Source organism: Homo sapiens, chromosome 9 (assembly GCF_000001405.40).
Source record: "Homo sapiens chromosome 9, GRCh38.p14 Primary Assembly".
Taxonomy (NCBI): Eukaryota; Metazoa; Chordata; class Mammalia; order Primates; family Hominidae; genus Homo; species Homo sapiens.
In genome coordinates, this window is record NC_000009.12 from 72,649,658 (window position 1) to 72,671,071 (window position 21,414).

The 21,414-nt window shown below is 38.0% G+C and overlaps 1 protein-coding gene and 1 pseudogene across 2 annotated transcripts in view; one reads left to right on the forward strand and one right to left on the reverse strand.

The window, feature by feature from the left end:
• TMC1 (transmembrane channel like 1) overlaps positions 1 to 21,414 on the forward strand; it is a 316,690-nt gene that overhangs the window by 128,050 nt on the left and 167,226 nt on the right. The window lies entirely within an intron of this gene.
• RPS20P24 (ribosomal protein S20 pseudogene 24) lies at positions 6,143 to 6,653 on the reverse strand (annotated as a pseudogene).

Sequence of the window (21,414 nt, forward strand, 5' to 3'; positions counted from 1 at the left end):
CTCTACACATCTTTCCAAAGAAGCTATTGGAAATGGCCCAAACTTTCATATTAACTCTTAACAGGGTGGCGTGGTTTTTCATTAGTAAGAACAGGATTCAAATCTTATGGAAGATGGTAGATTTCAACACCTTAGCATTTTTCTCAACCCTGGGATCTTCAAGTTCCTCAGGCTATTTAGGTAGTTATAGTGCTGGCAAACTTTTTAAGTGCCCAGTAGTTTTTACAAAAACTTGTAATAAATCTGCTCAGGCTATCTTAATTGCCAACCATCTCATTAAGCAAGTCAAATTAGAATGGATTATTCCTGCTGTTTATTAGTGCTGCATATTATTTATCATTTATTAACCTTATTGTGCTCACATAGCAGGTATTTTAAAGTTTAACAGCTTTATTTTAATTATGAATGTAATATATGCTGTTGCAGAAAATATGTAAACTTTAGAGAAAATGTACTAAATGATGCACTGATGAAAATACAGAATCCCACCACAAAAATATTATTATCAACATTTGGGTATTCTCTTCCAAACTTTTTATATGAGAGTTATGTTTGGTTTATACATAATAAAATGGGTAAAAATCAATAAATAGAAAGCAAATGTTTTTAAGGCAGTACTTGGGCTTCATAAGAATGGAAAAAAATGATAGACTTGCCTGGTGTGGTTTGCATAATGTCACAGAATCATAACAATAGCTCCATTATTGAGTGTCTATTATGTGCCAGGTTCTGTACAATGTTCAGTGATGCGTCACTGTGATGACTAGAGGTAAAGGAAAGATAAGTGATGCCTTACTATGATGACTTCCAACAAGCTATGAAGGGACAGAACAAGCCTTTTTTTTTAACTTTTATTTTAGGCTTGGGAGTACGTATGAAAGTTTGTTACATAGGTAAACATGTGTCACAGGGGTTTGTTGTGCATATTATTTCACACCCAGGTACCTATGTCCAGAACCCAATAGTTTAGTTTTCTTTTCTCCTCCCCTCCCTCATTCTATCCTCCCCCCTCACATAGACCCCAGGGTCTGTTGTTTCCTTCTTTGTTTTCATAAGTTCTTATCATTATCATACTTATAAATGAGAACGTGGTATTTGGTTGTCTGTTTCTGCATTAGTTGGCTAAGGATAATGTCTTCCAGCTCCATCCACGTTCCCACATAAGATATAATCTCGTTCTTTTTTTATGGCTGCATGGTATTTCATGGTGTATTTTATATATATAGATATATAGATATATATATAAATATATATAGATATATATATAAATATATATAGGTATATATATGTCACATATATATATCACATATACAAGGATATGTCCTCTAGCTCCATCCATGTTCCCACATAAGACATAATCTCGTTCTTGTTTTATGGCTGCGTGGTATTTCATGGTGTATTTTATATATATATATCTATATAAAAATATATAGATATATATATCACATATATATAGCACATGTATCTATATCACATATATATATATATCACATTTTCTTTATCCAGTTGGGACAGAACAAGTCAACTGGCAAGTCCATTGCTCAGCTTGTTGAAATACTCTGCACAGAATGCAAGGAAAAACTGTTTTCATGAGGTAGCCCATGAAGCGATGAAGCAAGGCAAATTTATCTGCCTGGATAACCTCCTGTATGCTGTTTTCACTCCATGGAGAGTCAACACAACAGACTTCTGAGTTGTATTATCGAGCTCCTTCAACAGGGCATTGCTGTAAGATCCTAGATCCCACACTCCATGGTGTGATGTTTTAGCCAAGTCTGGAAGTAGCACAGGCCCTAAAATCTCATGATTGCAGGTTGTCAACTCTGCTGTAGGCTTGCCACTTCAAGGGCAAGTGGTTGGTTGGGGCTGGGATTTGGGCAGAGCCATAGAAAGAAAGGGAACATTCAAGGGAATTTGATGATGTGCATGATGTCTCTGTCTGATACAAAAAGAAAAAAAAACTCTAAAAACATTTGATACATAGAAATACTAGTATTTGGTGAGATTGAATGTGGGAAGATGAGGGATAAGAAGGTATTAAGAATGACTCCCAAGTTTCTGACTTGGTCAGTTGAGTAGAAGGGAAATTTTTATTTTTATTTTTATTTTTAAAATTTCAGTAAGTTTTTAGGGAACAGGTGGTGTTTGGTTACATGAATAAGTTCTTTAGTGGTGATTTCTGAGATTTTGGTGCACCTATCACCTAAGCAGGGTACACTATGCCCAATGTGTAGTCTCTTATCCCTCACCCCCCATCCTTTCCCTTGACTCCCCAAAGTCCATTGTAACATTCTTATGCCTTTGTGTCCTCATAATTTAGCTCCCAATTGTGAGTGAGAACATATGATGTTTGGTTTTCCACTCCCGAGTTGCTTCACTTACAATAATAGTCTCCAATTCATGCCAACATCTATTATTTTTTGATTTTTTGATCATGACCATTGTTGTAGGAGGGAGGTGGTATCCCATTATGGTTTTGATTTGTATTTCCCTGATAATTAGTGATGCTGAACATCTTTCCATATACTTGTTGGCCATTTGTATATCTGAGTAGAAGGTAATTCTAATAAATAAAACAGGAAGGCAGCAGAAAGAGGTTTGTTTGGGATATGGCTTGATTATTTGCAAGATATTTGCTGTAGCTTAGGAGAAAGGTGGATGTTGGTGATACTGATTTTGTCATTATCTGTGAGTTAAAGTTTCTAAAATCACGTGGCTTCCTAGGGAAAGCATATAGAATGACAAGGGAAGATGGCTAGATGGCTAGTAATGGCACCCTGAACAACTTCAGCATTTAGAGGTGGGTGGAGGAGGATAAGCCCATGGAAGAAACAGAAAGGATGGGCCAGCGAGATGAGAGGAGAAGCTAAGGGAGTAGACAGTTACCAGAGGGAAGGTGGGATCAGTTAAGAACCTTAGTATGTTGCAAAGAAATAACCTGCAATGCGGACCAACCCGGGGAACGTCTGTAAAAATGATGACAATTCTTAATTGTAATTTAAAATGTAATTGTATTGAGAGCTCTCTCTGTCTTTGTCTCATCATAATTTGAAGCAGATTAACTACATATTAGCTAGAAAAAGCCCTTTGAAATTTTCCTTCAATGTATCAATAGATTCTATGACTTTTTGTAAGTAGAAACTGCCTATTGGTAAAATAGCACTTAATTGAGATAATGCTTGTGAAAGCCATTTCTAAACTTTGAATTGACATACAAAATAAAGGTGGCAATCATCACCATGTTGCTATACTGTCTTTGGCCATATAAAATTTTTTTCAACAATACAAAGATAAGCCTTGTACAAATTCTTCAAAATTCTAAATTTGTGGTACTTGAATAATGTTTTACTATATATAAAGATGAATAGATAGCATTTCCTACAATAAATAAATAATTTATATATCAATGTGTTGGGATTATAAATTCTCATAGAAATTCACTTTATTAATTCATTCATTCATCTGATCACAGTTCATTCAGCAAATAATTTGTTTTGTTCTTTTTAAGTGCTCTGGGAAGAAGGTATTGTGACAGAGTCCCTTCTCTCAAAGCGTTTATAGATTCATGTGTTTGGGGAAAGTACAGAACAATTATTGAAATAAAACCAGAGTCAGGCACATTGCTATGCCAGCTATAAAGAGCCTATGAAAATTAGGAACATTGACACATTTGTTCCTAACCTGGTTTGTGCTTTCAGGATTCCTCTGAAGTGGCAGCACTCCTTGGGTTTGAAATGTTCGTCAGTAATGACTGATGGACATCAACAGGTGAATAGACACACAAAAAACCTATGAAACTTACATACCATAGGTTACTATTCAACAATAAAAAGAAAAACTGTTGATACATCTAACAATGTAGATGAATCTCAAAAGCATTATGCTATTCCTTTGGCTGATAAAATGGTGACACTCCTTTATTTCTCTTTCTTTCATCCCACTTTTAAAATCAGCCTTAGTATACTTTAGGCACAATATACTATATACATTTAAAATGACAATTTGACAAGTTTTGACAAATGTATATACATTATAAAAATCATGATAAAGATTTCCGCCGCCTCAAAATGTTTCCTCATGCCTTCTTGGAATAAATCCACACATTCCTTCCTTCTCTACACCCCACCACCCATATACTCTACCTCTAGACCCAAGCAATTGCTAGTCTGCTTTTTGTCAGCGTAAATTAGTTTGCATTTTCTAGAATTTCATATTAATGGAAATGTACAGTAAGTACTCTTTTGTGCCTGACTTCTTACATTTAGTATAGTGCTTTTAAGATTTATCCAAATTGTTGGGTGTATCAATAATTTGTTTCTTTTTATTGCTGAGTAGTATTCTATTGTATACGTGGTTCACAGTTTATCCATTCACCAGTTAATGGACATTCCAGTTGTTTTATATTTGGGGCTGTTATGAATAAAGCTGATGTGAACATTTGAATAGAAGTCTGTTGTGAATGTTTGGATTGGAATTGCTGGGTTGTACAGTAAGTGTTTGATTAACTTCATAAGAAACTGCCAAATGATTTTCCAAAGTGGCTACATATAATTTTGCATTTTCACCAGCAGTGTATGAGATTTCCAGTTGATCCTCATCCTCATTCAAAACCTGGAATTAAGAGTGAATCTTTTAAATTTTAGCCTTTTGAGAAAATGTGTAGTGGTACTTCATTGTAGTTTTAGTTCGCACTTCTCTAATGACTAATGATGTTTAACATGCTTTTATATCTTCTTTTGTCTCCATCTATTCTTTGTTCTTCATTCTCTTTTCTTCCTTTAGAGTAAGTATTTTTTATTTTATTCCATTTTCACTATTGGTATATTATCTATAAATTCTTTGTTGTTGTTCCATTTTAGTGGGTTTACAATATAAATCTTTAACTTATCACAGTCTGTCATCAAATAATGGTATACCCCTTACATATGTTTTAGGAACCTTACAGTGGTAAAAATATCAGTTCCCCATCCTGTACTTGTTGCTATTGTTTTCATGCATTTTATTCTGTATATATTATAAACTCTACAATCTATCATTATTACTTTTTGTTTAAATATTAAATTCTTTAAAAGAGATTTTTAAAAATAAGAAAATAGTCTTTCATATTTTCTCATGTATTTGCCATTTTTATTGTTTTTTTTTTCTTCCATATTTGAGATCCAAATTTCTATCTGGTATACTTTTCCTTCTGCCTGAATAACTACCTTTAGTATTTTTTTGTAGTACAGATCTGTTGGCAATGATTATCTGAACTTCTGTATGTCTGAAAAAGCCTTTAGCTAATTTTTGAAAGTTTTTTGATGGACATATGATATGGTTTGGCCCTGTGTCTCCATCTAAATCTTATCTTGAATTGTAATCCCCATGATCCCCATGTGTCAAGGGTGGGACCAGGTGGAGGTAATTGGATCATGAGGGCCGTTCGCCCCATGCTGTTCTCCTAATAATGAGTGAGTCTCATGAGATCCGATGGTTTTATAAGTGTCTGACATTTCCCCTGCTTGCACTTCTCCTTTCTGCCACCTTGTGAAGCAGGTGCCTGTTTCCCCTTCACCTTCTGCCATGATTGTAAGTTTCATGAGGTCTCCCCAGCCTTGCTGAACTGTTAGTCAATTAAACCTCTTTCCTTTATAAATTACCCAGTCTCAGGTATTTCTTCATAGCAGCATGAGAATGGACTAACACGGTACATACAATTACAGGTTGCTAGTCCCTTTTTTCCCTTCAGTGCTTTAAGGATTTCACTCTTCCATAGTTTCTGATGAGTAGTCTGACCATTCCTAACTTTGTGCCATTATTTTCTCATTTTTTTCTGACTCTCCCTTCTGGGACTCCAATTACAAATATCCCAGACTTCCTAACTTTGGCAGGTCAAGAGATCGAGACCATCCTGGTCAACATGGTGAAACCCAGTCTCTACTAAATATACAAAAAATTAGCCAGGCATGGTGGTGGGCGCCTGTAGTCCCAGCTACTTGTAAGGCTGAGGCAGGAGAATGGCTTGAACCCGGGAGGGGGAGCCTGCAGTGAGCTGAGATCGCGCCACTGCACTCCAGCCCGGGCGACAGACCGAGAATCCGTATCAAAAAAAAAAAATCATTCAAAAGATTACTGATGCTTGTTTCATTTTTTTTTAATTTTTCAACTGGTAATTAATTTATTAAAATAGTTGACTTATACGTCTACAATGGTGACTTCCATCTCAACTCCTGGCTCAATACTGATGGAAGTAATCTGCTTAACAATCTCAGAAGGACTGAGCAAGTCAATGAGTCGCTTGTGGATTCTCATCTGGAAATGATCCCATGGCTTAGAACCTTCACCACATGGAGTTTTTTCTTGTAGTGATTCTCAAAGTCTTAGTAGGCATTTGAACTGGTCTTTTCACTTTGAGATTCTTTTCCTTTGCTCCTCTGATCAAGTCAGCACACACCTTCGCCAGGGATTTTACATTGCAGCTTGTTAGAGTGATTCGAATTCGGTGAATTGCCATCTTCGGCTCCGTGGGTGTTTTTCCGGTATCCTTAAAAGCCATCACTGCTGCGCGGCTTCCTGACCTACTTGTTCCGGCAAGAGTGAACAGTGGTGAGTCAGGAGCAGGTGCGGGCGGATCAGAGCTCCACAACACCTACGACCACCTCTTCTTCAAAGAGGTGTTTCATGTTTTAAAATCTTAATTTCCTTCTGTTTCATTTTGGATAAAATCTGTCTTCAAGTTTGGTGCCTTTTTTTTTGGGCCAATATCTAATCTAAAGTTCATCCTATCCAGTATGTTTCTCATTTCAAATATTGTATTTTCTATCTGCAGAGTTTGATTTGTATTTGAAAACGTTTTTTAATCTTTCTCATTGTCTTAAACATTTGGAGTATACTTATAATAATTGTTTTACTGTTGTTATCTGTTACTTCTATCATCTATGAAATTACTATATCTGTTTCTATTGATTGATTTGATTACTATTCTGGTTGGGAGGCAATATTTTCCCTACTTCTTTGCTTACTTGGTAATTTTTTTATCAATGAAAATTTATAAAAGTGAACTTCATTTACAATTGGATATAATGAATTTTACATTTTTGTGTCCTGGATTTTTCTGTATTCCTTTAAATATTGTTGGATTTCTTTTTTTTCCCCCCTCCGGGATGCAGATAAGTTTCTTGGAATTAGCTGGATGCTTTTGAGATTTGCTTTTAAGATTTGTTAGGGTGAATTCAGAGCAGGGCTACTTTGATCTAGGAAATAGCCCTCTGAAGGGTCTCATGTTCTGTGAGATAGGAGGTCTTTCTCCTCTGACTGGTTGGTAGCCTAAGCTATTCCTGATTCTTGTAAGGTCTGGACACTGTTCTGCATACTCTTTTCTGATAGTTCTTTCCCTGGCCTTAGTAGTTACCACACATCTATGCACATAGCGGTATTCAGCCAAAGTTTGAAAGGATTCAAAGATCTCCAGAGCTCTCTCTGTATCACTGTTTCTGTTATTCTATCCCACAAATTCTAAGTGTGTGAAACTCCCTGAAATCAGAACTATGTCTCCTCAACTCAGTGAGACCACAAGCCACTGTTTGGGTTTCCCCTGCCCATGTTGCAGCCTAGAAACTCTCCTCAGGCAAAAAGATCAGGCAACATCGGGGTCATCTCATTTCCTTCCCTTTCAGAGATCACTGTAATTGCCTATTGAACAATGCCTGAAGAAAGATGTTTCATATATTTTGTCTGGCTTTCTAGTTGCTTAAGGTAAGAAGGTAAATGCATTCCTAGTTACTGCATTGTGGCTGGGAGCAGAATTCCAATACTGTTTTTTTTATAATATGCTTTTACTTAATTATTTGAGGATTCCCTTTAGTTATCATAATTTTACATGATGTAAACAGGTAAATGAGAATATCTTCAAAATATATTTTTCAGTTTTGGGGTGGTTCTCTCAGTTCTGGTTTTTGCCAAATATAATAGATTTTTAGTATCTGAGTTCCATATGACAAAATTTATAAATCTTGGGTGTATCCATATGGTATGTTATAATCGGAAAAGATAGATGAAATTCCGCTTTTGTCTAATGTCTTTATAGGTCTTGGAGAAACTTGAAGAAGGGTTGTAAAGTCCATAACTTTACAATGAGACAAAATTAAAAGAATCCAAGCCAAAATTGTCCTAGACAATGAAAAGTATCGCTATGCAGAAGCCAAATCTCTTAAGCTCCTCCACCATATCAGTCATGACACAGTCTATAGTTTAACAATTGTTTCAATTTGGAAATTAATTTTTAGTACTAATTTAAATATTTCATATTAGTATATGAGAATTCTTCCTTCTGTTCAGGCTGTGGTATGGGGAAAAGTCAGTTCCCATCAATGCAGATTCATATCTACCAGCACAGTGATTAAATTATCCTCATATCCTCTTGTGTTTGAACAAGCTGTGTACTTTTAATTTTAATGGATTTAACTCAATATTCAATATATGTTGATTACTGAATACAACAAAAAGTGTAATAGACACTCCTTGAGAAGCTCATAATCTATTTGGGCAGATGGAACAAATACTTAGAAAAATTGAAAGGTAGTTTAGGACCACAGTAAAAAAAAATTGGGGGTGCAGGATATAAAGTATCAATTGAATTGTAGAAGCAATATATACTGTGTATTTTTTCACCTGGGTGAGAGGGTGAGACTCCGTCTAAAAAAAAAAAAAAAACTATGGTTGTTCACCATAACTAAACATTTAATCTCTTTCAGTCTATCTTACTCATCTACAAAATGGAGATAATACCTGTTTTGCAGTGCAGGCCCTGACATACGGGTAGAGTTCCATAAATCCTAGCTTCTATTCCTTAACTCTTTTAACTCTTTTCTTCCTTCCTTCTTTCTAGCTAATTTTTAACTCTCTATCCTAGACAACTTTTGCTAAACGTGTATAACATGTAGTACCTACGCATAGGAATATGTTTTATAGAACAGAATTATTGAAAACAGCTTCTTACATTTCTGTTATTTTTTCAAAAGCAAGAATTCATGTATTCCTTCTGAGCCAAGTACATGCAATAAAAAGTAAGAGAGATTCAGAAATTCTGATGATTATTCTCCCAAGAAGAGTGCTTGCTAGAGTGAGGGTCTTGCAGACACAGAAGGAGCTGATGGGGTGAACTGCTGGGGTGTTACAAAAGGCCTTCGGGAAAATACGTAATCTAAGTCAATAAATCATAGAGTGAAGATTCCCTCAGGGAAAAAGGGAGTGGTTCTGAAGAACTTACAAATTTTTCCAGGCAATAGCCACAGATGCTAGCACAAGGGCATTATGGCCACATAGTGTGAGCAAAAGTGCTTAACTTTTTGCCCTTCTTCTAATATTTACTCTATTAGCCCAGACAACATGAGATCCAGAAGCCTCATGATGAGTGGAGAGGAAATATAAATCAGAAGAAATGGTCAAAAAGATGCCTATATTCACTTCCGCACTTAGGTCTCCAAGCCTCAGTTCCTGGCATGAGTAGGTAGAGGAGAGGAGCTTGGAATAGGATGTGAGATTACAGTTTTAATATAGACTGGACTGGATATTTGAATACCTGAAAATGAATCTGAATTCTCAAAATGAGGTGGTTCCTGCAACTGAAAATAACAAGAAAGCTACAGGATCTTCTGCCATGTTATCCAGGGGTGGAAAAGTGAAATTCAGTGGAGCCAGGTTAAAGATGGAGTTTGGGCCGGGAGTGGTGGTTCATGCCTATAATCCCAGAACTTTGAGAGGCCAAGGTGGGCAGATTACTTGAGGCCAGGATATCAAGACCAGCCTGGCCAACATGGTGAAACCCCATCTCTACTAAAAATAAAAAATTAGCCAGGTGTGGTGGCATGTGCCTGTAGTCCCAGCTACTGGGGTGGGTGAGGCATGAGAATCACTTGAACCTGGAAGGGGGAGCCTGTGGTGAGTCAAGATTGCACCACTGCACTCCCGCCTGGGCAACAGAGCAAGACCCTGTGTGACCTTGTGTCCAAAAACAGACAAACAAACAAATACCATGTGGAGTTTGTTTACTCTTTAAACAAATATCCTTCATGTGTTGAACTGAACTATAATTATAGTTAGTAGGGCACATAGCAGGTTTTAATAAGATATCTAGTTCTTCCTCTTAAGGTAACTCGTTAGAACTTTTATGAGAAAGAACTAAAGAATTTCTAATGGGGCAGCTAATCCACTCTTTTGTGCACTCTGTTCTGCTGATGATCTGATGTTAGTCGGGGTTTCTGTTTGAGATTCCTGAGCCTTAACTGCTGATGACAGAGTTCAAAATCATTGCTTTCTAACTTTGAGAATGACTGCCTAATATGACATCATTTTCTACCCCTGAGTGCTAATAGTCTACCTTATTCCTCCTGCCTGTCCTTCTCCTTGAGGAGGAGGATCATCAATGCACTGTGTGGATTGAAGTGGCTTCATACCCTTTTGATGTTAATGTTCTCCTTTGCTTAAAGTGTGAACTGAATATGGATCCCTCATTTATGAAGCACCATGACACTTCCTGGGTAATGAACAATTAAACAGACTTCTCAGCAATAGTGACTATTTTTCTGATTTTTCACTTCATGGACAATATTGTATGCAAGTTAAATTTGCAACTAGCTTGAGGCTTCACACATGGTGAGTTTGAGAAATTGAATTCTCTACCTCAAATGTATTTCCTTTTCCTTGAACTCTACATTCAGGTCAGCTGTCCAGTTCTTAAACAACAGGTTTTGGAGAGGCAATGAGTAATAAAATAGCATTTTCTCCTTCAATTCTATCTGCATTTGAAAAAAATAACCTTTTATTTTTGATTCAAAGAAGAGAGGAGTTTTCTTGTCTTTCTACATCTGTTCCAACTCCTCCAAATGCACAAAAATTTTTTCAGAGCATTCCAGAGTTTCTCAGACTGCACATAGAAGATTTTGCATATAGATACATCTTGGCCATAATAACCTTCTACTGAATTAGTAGAAAATAGATGTATTCTAGGTTTTCATATCTTTATGGCAATATGAATAGACAAGGCTCTTCTTGCAAAAATATCTCCTGAACTGTGCGGGAGATGCTTGGAAGACCCAGTCAAAATTACGAAGTATCCCAAGTTTGTATCCTCCTGTGGCTTCCCCGTATTACAATAATGTCATTCTGATCCAGGTTCCAGTACTCTCAAGCCCTTGTCCTTCCCTTTTCATTTTAGCTTGCATTCATCCAAGTATTTGGATGGAAATTATCAATACCTTATACGAGAACGTATGGGAGGCTGAGGCGGGCGGATCACGAGGTCAGGAGATCGAGACCATCCTGGCTAACACAGTTAAACCCTGTCTCTACCAGAAAAATACAAAAAATTAGCCATGCATGGTGGCACGCGCCTGTAGTCCCAGCTACTTGGGAGGCTGAGGCAGGAGAATCGCTTGAACCTGGGAGGCAGAGGTTGCAGTGAGCCAAGATCACGCCACCGCACTCCAGCCTGGGTGACAGAGCGAGACTCATCTCAAAAACAAACAAACAAAAAGAATGTAAATGATTGGGAGTTAAAATTATGCTTTTCAGTTTTCAGCCATGGATCATGTTTTCTTGCCTTGCCTGATTCCTAGAGTCTCACTCCATGATGTTTCCTCTTTATTATAAAGATTAGATGGCTTTGCATTGCTGCCATGTGGCATTTATACTTCTCAAGCAGCTGTGTCATCTTATTCTACCGTTTAAACTTAGTTTTACTTTAAGTCCACATCTAAACTGTTTGCCTGCATGCCCAGCACTTTTTCCACCCTCTACATTTTATTTGACTGGAGCAATCACCTTAGCCTCTCTAGGTCTTTGCTTATCATCACTCTGCTCATTCTTCAAGCCTCACTTGATTACTGCCTCCTCTGTGTTGCTTTCCTGGATTTCCTCAGTAAGACATAGTTTCTCCCTTTCATACTTCTGTGGTATTAAGTATGCACCAGTTACATGTGACTCATCTCCAAGTGCTTTGGCATGGAGATATTATTTATGTTCCTTATATGACTACTGACCACTTTTTTCTAGACTAAATATTGAAACACTTGGCCAGATAATTTTGCTTAATTTTGAGTTTCCTTTTATACTTTTTAAAACAAATTTTTGAAATTAAATTACATTTTGTTAGGTTGCAAATCTGAAAAAGTCCAAGGATGAGGTGAGTTTGTTGTGGTCAGTTGGGTAGTTGCTAAACTCATAGCTGGTTTGTGTCTGCTGACCAGCACATTGTTAGCCTAGAGAAAGTCTACATGGGGAACCAGATTATGATGCAAGCGTTGCTTGGAGAGCCCTTGATCAAGAGCAAAACAGGTTGGTAGACTCGAGGGATAGTTCAGCTAGGTCTGATGGAACATTCCAGTTTTGCCAACAGAAGGAAAAACATTGGAAGGGCTTATCTTCCCCAGGATCTGGATCTGTTCCACTGGGTAACATTTAATAAGCACTAACATGGTCTCTTCTTTCACTTGCCATTTCCTGTGCTTCTTTTTCCAACTACTACATCTCCTTTGACACATTTTCTTTTTCTTTTTCTTTTTTTTTTTTTGAGATAGAGTCTTGCTCTGTCACCCAGGCTGGAGTACAGTGGTACGATCTTAGCTCACCGCAACCTCCACCTCCCCGGTCCAAGCGATTCTCCTGCCTCAGCCTCCTGAATTGCTGGGATCACAGATGTGCGCCACCACACTCAGCAATTTTTTTTTTTTTTTTGTATTTTTAGTAGAGGCAGGGTTTCACCATGTTGGCCAGGCTGGTCTCGAACTCCTGACCTCAGGTAATCCACTGGCCTCGGCGTCCTAGAGTGCTGGCATTACAGGTGTGAGCCACTGTGCCTGGCCTCTTTTTAAGTGTATCAATACCATCATTTTGGCTGCTTATTCTGCCCTGGGAGCCATTCTGTCTCTTTAGGAAGTTTTTGCGTGTATCAGATCTCATCTTTTATATTTTGATGTTTAATAGCATTTAAAGGATTTTGTTTTGTGTTTTTTAAATGATTTGAAAACAAGTGTGCTCACTAATTAATAAACAGCAGATTCAAACTTTTGTTGCTTTTTCAAGAAAAAAATGAAAAATTCTGTAACAATATATCTTAGCCATAAAACACTTGTAATCAGCACTCCTCCAGAAATTTCAGGATGTAAGTTATCTTAATGATTATACTAGAAAATCTTGGAAAGCAGGGATATGGCTAACTTTTTATAACATGTATCCCTACTGTCACAACAAGAGTTAAGACTTAATAAATACAGTCATGTGTTGCTTAACAACTGGGATATATTCTTGTAACCACCCAAGGGGTTCATTTTGCCTGCTACCTGGATACAGCCAATTTATCAAGAACCAGGAATTGCAGTAGAGAAAGGGTTTAATTCATACAGAGCCAGCTGAATGGGACACTAGAGTTCTATTACTGAAGTCAGTCTCCCTGAAAATTCAGAGGGTAGGGTTTTTCAAGGATAGTTTGAAGGGCCAGGGAATGGTGCTGCTGATTGGTTGGAGATACAATCATAGGGATGTGGAAAATGGTCCTCATGCATTTCTCAAGTCCACTCCTTTTCTTAGTTCCTGCTTAGCGGAGGTGTTAGAATTTGCTTCTTGGTGGGGCCACAGGACTGGTTGGTGGGTCCAGGTGGGGCCACCAGTTGTCAGAAATGCAAAAACCTGAAAAGACATCTCAAAAGACCAATCTTAGGTTCTGTAATAGTGATGTTATTTGCAGGAGTAATTGGGGAAGTTGCAAATCTTGTGGCTAATTTGTTAGTCCTACAAAGGCAGCCTAGTCCCCAGGAAAGAAGGGGGTTTATTTAAGGAAAGGGCTGTTATCATCTTTGTTTCAAAGTTAAACTATAAACTAAGTTCCTCCCAAAGTTAGTTGGACCTGTCCCCAGGAATGGACAAGGGCAGCTTGGAGGTTAGAAACAAGATGGAATCTGTTAGTTTAGATCTCTTTCACTGTCATAATTTTGTCACTGTTAACGTTTGCAAAGGTGGTTTCACTGTAGACTTTATAAACACCATATACTTAGACTATACTAAGTTTATTAAAAATATTTTTCTTTCTTTAGTAACAAATTAACCTTAGCTTACTATAAGTTTTTTACTTTTTGAAGTTTTTAATTTTTTTGAACTTTTGACTCTTGTAATAACAGCATAAAACACACTTTGTACAACTGTACAAACATATTTTCTTTATATACTTATTCTATAAGTGCTTTCTATTTTCATTTTTTCCCTTTAAACTTTTTAATTTAAATGAAGACAGAAACACAATACCCTAGGTCTACACAGGTTCTGGATCATCAATATCATTATCCACCACCTCCACATCTTGTCCCACTGGAAGATCTTCATGGACAATAACACGAAGCTCTCGTCTCCTGTGTTAACAATGCCTTCTTCTGGAATACCTCCTGAAAGACCTGCCTGAGGCTGTTTTATAGTTAATTTCCTTTTTTACAAGTAGAAGGAGTACACTCTAAAATAACGATTAAGAGTATTGTACAGTAAATAAATACAGCAGTAACAGAGTCGGTTATTATCATTATCAAGTATTATGTACTATACCTAATTGTGCTACATTTTTGTATGCCTGGCAGTGCAGTAGGTGTGTTTCACCAGGATCACCACAAACATATGAGTAATGTGTTGATCTATGACATTACCAGAGCTACCATGTTGATATAAACAGGAGACAGGGAAATACTGGGTAGAAGAGGGCAGTTCCCTGGCAAAAGCCTTACTCCCAAGCCTGGAAACCTGCAGTCCTAAATGGGAATAGGCATTCCTGTTTGTGCATCCAAATGTTGCCTTTTGGCCTGCCATGCCCCTCTGTCCTGTATCCATATAAACCCCAAATCCCAGGCTTGATGAGCAGATGAGCAGACAAACAGAAGAGCAGAGGAGCAGAAGAGTGGTGCTGCAGAGAAAGAGAGAAGAGAAGGAGCATCTGAATGTCAAGAGGAGTTTGGATGGGGATGGTCAGAGAGGAGATCAGCTGCAGGACAGCCAAACTCCAGGGGAAGATCATCTCTCACTCCATCCCCTTTCCAGCTCCCCACCCATCCTGCTGAGAGCCACCTCCATCACCCAGTAAAATCCTCACATTCACCATCCTTCAAGTTCATGTGTGACTTGATTCTTCCTGGACACTGGACAAGAACCTGGGTACCAAGAGGGCACTGAGCTGGTTAACACTTAAGCCATCTGCGGATGGCGGAGCTAAAAGAGCACTGTAGCACACCCACTGGGGCTTTGAGAGTCACAGGCACACACCCCTAGATGCCACCGTGGGATGGGAACCCAAAAGTGCTCGCCCTGGCTCCTGCACCTATCTGTCTACATGCTCCCTCTCCTATAACAGGCTTGCACAGCAGTGACTGCGCAACAGATGAGCCACACCCCTTCCACATGTCTGCAAGGGGTATCAGGGAACTCTCCCCTTTCAATGTCAGTAGGTAATAGGAATTTTTTAGCTCCTTTATAATCTTATGATACCACCTTTGTGTATGTGGTCTGTCATTGACTGAAGTGTCGTTATGTGGTACGTGACTGTATTTATTGAGTGGATGGTCAATTGTATGAGGTACTTGAATAATGAGTGGTGTGAACCTTGGTTTTATGACATCTTCTGAGAGCTGCTTTCAGGTGGGTATAAGAAGAGATATTTCTAGTCTAGGTCCCCACTCCTTTTCTTAGTTCCTGCTTAGTGGAGGTGTTAGAAAAAAAGGTTGGACTCTGGCACTATTTTCCTCCATTGGTTATATGGACTCAAAGCCATAACTTAAGGAAGAATGTCTATTTTTAGATTTGGTGACTGATTTAGATAGGTTGCTACAGAAAGTGGTACAAAGATATTTCACACATAGAATATCAAATCCAGGGTGCTTTAGCACTGCATTCCAATGGCCTGGGATGGATGGGTGGAAGCCCTGGCAAGCTGAAATAAACCAGGGCAAGCTCCTCTTTGGAATTCACAAGTCTGACAACTGGTGACTCAGGCTCTAGTCAGGAGACCTGAATGTTACGTCTGGCATCACGATACCTTAGTTTACAGAGATTAATCTAACAGGCCTTCAGTTAGTTTGCTTTATTTTAAAATTCTGCTTAGCTTTTTGTTGCCTACTAAATTTCTCCTGATGTATATTTAGATGTAGGTGAAGGCTGTAGATGTATGCACTACCAACACCAGCTTCTGGGAGGGAACATTTTCCCACTCACAAGCAAGTGAACTTTGCTTTCTCCATGAAGAAGAATGACCTGCATGATGGCTTTCAGAAGTGGAGAACATGGCTCACAGTTCCCTCCACAGTTCCTCCATGGCCTTTGGTTGCATCTTCTCTGAATGGAGGAGCTTGGGTTATGTGAAAAGCAGAGCTACCAGACTACATAAATGTTTTAGTGAGAAGGCAGCAAATTAAAATATCAGAAATTTTGAAAGGAAAGGTTTATAATAGTTAGATTTAAAACATACTTTGAGGCCAGGCAGCGTGGCTTACGCCAGTAATCCCAGCACTTTGGGAGGCCAAGGCGGGAGGATTGCTTGAGGGCAGGTGTTCGAGACTAGCCTGCACTACATAACAAGACCTTGTCCTGTCTCTATTAAAAAAAAAAAAAGGAAGGAAAGGGAAGAAAAAGTGCTTTAATATTCAGAGGCATGAGAGATGCAATGAGTAATATAGGACCTTCTCTAAGGACACTGGGGGAGCACTCTACAGAGGTGGTTCTAATCTAGCCTGGCAAATCTCTGTTCCCTTCATGCCTTGTACTTCCTTCTTCTTTGTGACTTTGCTAATGTTATTCCTTCCTCTTGGACAAATTTCCTATACTAACCAAAAGGCCCCAAGACACAGGGGGAAATGTGGTAAATCTGAGACTGGAAGGAAATTACCATCTAATGTCACTCTTGTACAGTATAACTATTGTTAATATTATTGCTGGGGTCACTCATTTATTCATATCACAAACACTGACTGAGTGCCTATTATTTGCCAAGCATGGGCAATAAAGAGTTGAAGACCAACAAAGCCCCTGCCTTCCCAGAAGCTTATTTGCTTGTGGGGAAAATAAACAGTGGATCAATTAACAAATAAGTAGATAACATAATGTCACGGCCAGGCGTGGTGGCCTCATGCTGGTAATCCCAGCACTTTGGAAGACTGAGGTGGGAGGATCACTTAGGCCCAGGAGTTTGAGACCAGCCTGGGCAGCATAGGGAAATCCCATCTCTACCAAAACAAAACAAAACAAAACAAAACAAAACAAAACAAACAATAAACGAAACACATGGTGGCGTGTGCCTGTAGTCCCAGCTACTCAGGAGGCTGAGGTGGGAGGATCACTTGAGCCCAGGACACAGAGGTTGCAGTGAGCCAACATCTCCCCACTGCACTCCAGCCCGGGTGACAGGGTGAGACCCTGTCTCAAAACAAACAAACAAACAAAACAACCAAAAACCAAAAAAAGTAATGTCAGATGGTGACTGTTTTGAGGAAAATAAAGCAGGGTAGGGGAACTAGTGATAACTGGTAGATTTGGGTTTCTCCATCTCTGGCTGCTTTTGCATCCTCAGTAAGGTGAGAGTGGCAAAGGAAATTCCAGGTTGACTTTCGGGTTCAGTGAATTTTCTACCCCGTGTCTCTTCACTGCCCTTTCCCTCCCCAGAACCTCTAAAATCTGATCCTTAGATTCTGCAATGTAAGTCAGCTTCCTTCTTCCTGGTTGCCAGCTCACTACATTCTTATTCCTGGATAAACCAAAAATCTCTTCCTTGTTTTCATATTTTCAAAAAGATGTAGAAATCTCTCACCTGCTCATGTTCCTTCCTTTTTGTCTTGTTGGTATATATACCTTTTACAATTCTTTCACTACCAAATGTAGTTGGATATTGGGATGTAGTCACAACAAACACATAAATACAATTCACCATTTTTAAATGGACTTATTCATTTAGTCTGCTTAAAATTGAGATAATAACACACGCACCAGTTGGGTTTCTCTGAGAACTCTGGGCATTTTTAATCCTGGCAATTTTTAAATTGCTTAGCAGTAAAACAGTCAGACAACAGCACCTATTGTTATAAATCCCTGCCTCTTCTTACCTCAATGAGGCTATCCTTTCTCTCTATCAATTCTGTCAGCAGAATTAAGAAGAGCCATTGATTTCCAGTTTGTTCAGCGTTTTTCTTCTTAGGATGGGAGTGATGACTTCTAACCTCTTTACATCTAGAGACTCAATTTAAGTCTACTTCTTTCATTCAGCCTTCTCTCTTCATTTTCAGCTGCCTGGAATGTCTTCTTTCTCTCAGTTCCTATCTTTGACATTAAAAATCACAGTACTTAGTTATATTCTACCTCACACCAATCATTTTACTTGTTAATATCTTTTTTCCTAGTTAGATTGTGACATTTTGGAATAAAAGAAAAATATCCTTTTTTACTTTATAGCTCTCCAGATTTCATTAGATTAGTATAGATTCGAGTGCCTTTTATATATCAGGCAATGCCTAGTGTATAATATTTTTACTTATGGGTTTTAGCATTTAACTTATTTAATGATCACAACATTCCTATGATGTTATTTGTTTTCATAATTTGTTGAAATGAAAGCTGATGGTCAGAAAGGTTAAAAAGTTGTCTGGTCATAATTTTTGAGGAGGCAGAGCTAGGTTTTGAACGCAGGTCTGTCTGATTCTGAGAATAATCCTGTGCTCCTTCAGCTGAACCACACAGCCCCTCTTAGTGCTTTGTCTCCATAGACACTAAGTGTATTCTTGTTGATTGAGTGAATTAACGAGTGAATTATCTGGAGCTCTTTCTGCTTCTGTTTTCTTCTCTGTACAATGAGGATCATCACATGAACCTGATCTAAGAATAGAATAGTCCAACTGAGTTCCCTTAATTTGGTAACCAAGAGAGAGTAGAGTTAATTAACTAGAACCCTTTGCCATCACTTCTCTCTAAACTTTTCATCATTTTCCTCTAAAAGTCCGGTCCTGAGCTCTATTACAAGATAGAACATTTTAGCCTCTATCGAAGAGAGCACTATTAATATTTTATGGCATTGGCTCCTTTTTTCCTAATACTGTGGGATTAAAATAATGTTTACTAAATTCTGGATGTTCGATTCCTGTTTTTTCATGATATTTTATAATCCAGGCCTTCTTCATAGAGACACAGGGCTATGTTTTATAACTGCCAGGGTCAAGCAAAGAACAGCTTGTGTGAGATACTTAAAGAAATAGCTAAGCAGTAACTTCAGACCTTCTGTATATTTTCCTCAAAATTTTCTCTCAGTTTTTGTCTCCCTACAACTCATTTTTAGAAAACAAAAACATAACACAATTTTGCCCTTTTAAAAGATAATACAGCTGGGTGCAGTGGCTCACGCTTGTAATCCCAGCACTTTGGGAGGCTGAGGTGGGGCAGATCACCTGAGGTCAGGAGTTCAAGACCAGCCTGGCCAATATGGTGAAACCCTGTCTCTACTAAAAATACAAAAATTAGCTGGGTGAGGTGGCGGCAGGCGCCTGTAATCCCAGATACCCGGGAAGCTGAGGCAGGAGGATCGCTTGAACCTGGGAGGCGGAGGTAGCAGTGAGCTGGAATTGCACCACTGCACTCCAGCCTGGGCGAAAGAGTAAGACTCTATCTAAAGAAAAAAAAATGTACTATAATAATTTACAAAGTACAGAAAATATCTAAAGGAAAAGAAATAACATCTCACAACCTCATCATCTAGATATGACTGCAAAAATTTTGGCATATTTCATTTCAGCTTTTAATTAATTTATTTTTGCAGAAGACATTTATTTCAGATATTCTAACTTTATAATCTGTAGAATTTTAATGATATTTTTGTATGACATCTATCATAAACATTTCTGCATGTCATTGAAATATTTATAAATGTTATTTTTATTTAAACAATGCATAATTGATATAACCCTTCTCTTAAAATTGGTGATTTCACATACCTGGGGATGAGCCGATGTGAAACAAAAGAGAAAGGGTAAGAGATAGCTAGTCTCTTGACTCATTTTTTTTTTTCCATATGACTTGAAAAAAAGAACTTATCTTAGAGACCTCTAGAATAGTTAGCACAAATAGATTTCTCAATGTGGTTAAGATGAAATACAGATACTGAATTTACTCTTTTATGTGAAATAAATAAAAACTGGATAAGATATATATAGCAACAGTTTTCAAGACATTATACCTCAGACAACAAAGGATAATGACCTCTGAGAGAGGGAAAACAAATTAGGTGAGCCTGTGATTGCCCCAGTTTACTGCCTGGAGAGAGATTCCAGGCCAGGGTGCAGAGAGAAGGGTTGCGAATGGAAACTATTGCTCTTTCTGAGTTAAGGAGAGAGACCTGAAAGTCTGCAGGTACAAAGATAGCTGCAATTCATGAGAAAGAGTTCCAGAGAAAAGAAAACTGAACAGAGAGTGAGCTCTGGATTTCTGTAGTGTTCCTGCTGACTCTTCTGCTGAATCATGATCAGTGCATGTGTGTGGCTGGAGAAAGAACCTCTGAAAAGGTTTAGAGGGACAAATCCTTAGAATCACATAGGCCTGGGAATAGCTCCTCTTTCCACCAGAAAGAGTATAAAAACCATGAAATTCATGGGACATTAGGTAGAGTACTTAGAAGGGTTTTGCTTCAGCAGTGAGAAAAAATTAGTCCTAGACCAAATGTTGCTCTGATCCTAACAAAACTTAAAAAATGAGACCCTAAAGGATAAAACTGTTTCCAGGTAACTTAAATATATACCAGAACAAAGCCGAAGACTATAGGAATATGAAAATATCTAGCAGTCAGTAAGGTAAAATTCATAATGTCTAATATGCAACCAAATATTACCATGAATATAAAGAAGCATGAAAATAAATACCCATAATTCCAAGAAAAATCAATTATACATAATTGCCCCATCAATGACACAGATGATGTAATTAGTAAACAAAGAGCTAATTATAACTGCCAACTCTAGCCATTACACATGTTCAAGTGGCTAGAGGAAAGATCAAATCACGACACAGAAGAAATAAAAAGACAATAAAATATGTACAGATGAAAATTACAATATCTGAGATGAAGCATAAGCGAGATGGGATTCGCAGCAGATTAGATATAGAAGAAGGATTAATGAACATCAAAACATGTATGACAACAGTAGTATAAAGTCTGTAAGAAAAGAAATGGAAACATACTGGTATAAGGTTTTACACTATGTATGAAATGGTGTAGTATCACTTGAAGAGAGACTGTGACTAAAGACCACTGTAACCTCTTAGGGAAAGAAAAATATCTTTTTCTACCCATCCTGGGTTCACAGCTGAGGCCACTATAACAAAAAACAGATTAATAACACAGAAGCATACACATTTACTTAATATAAGTGTTATGTGACA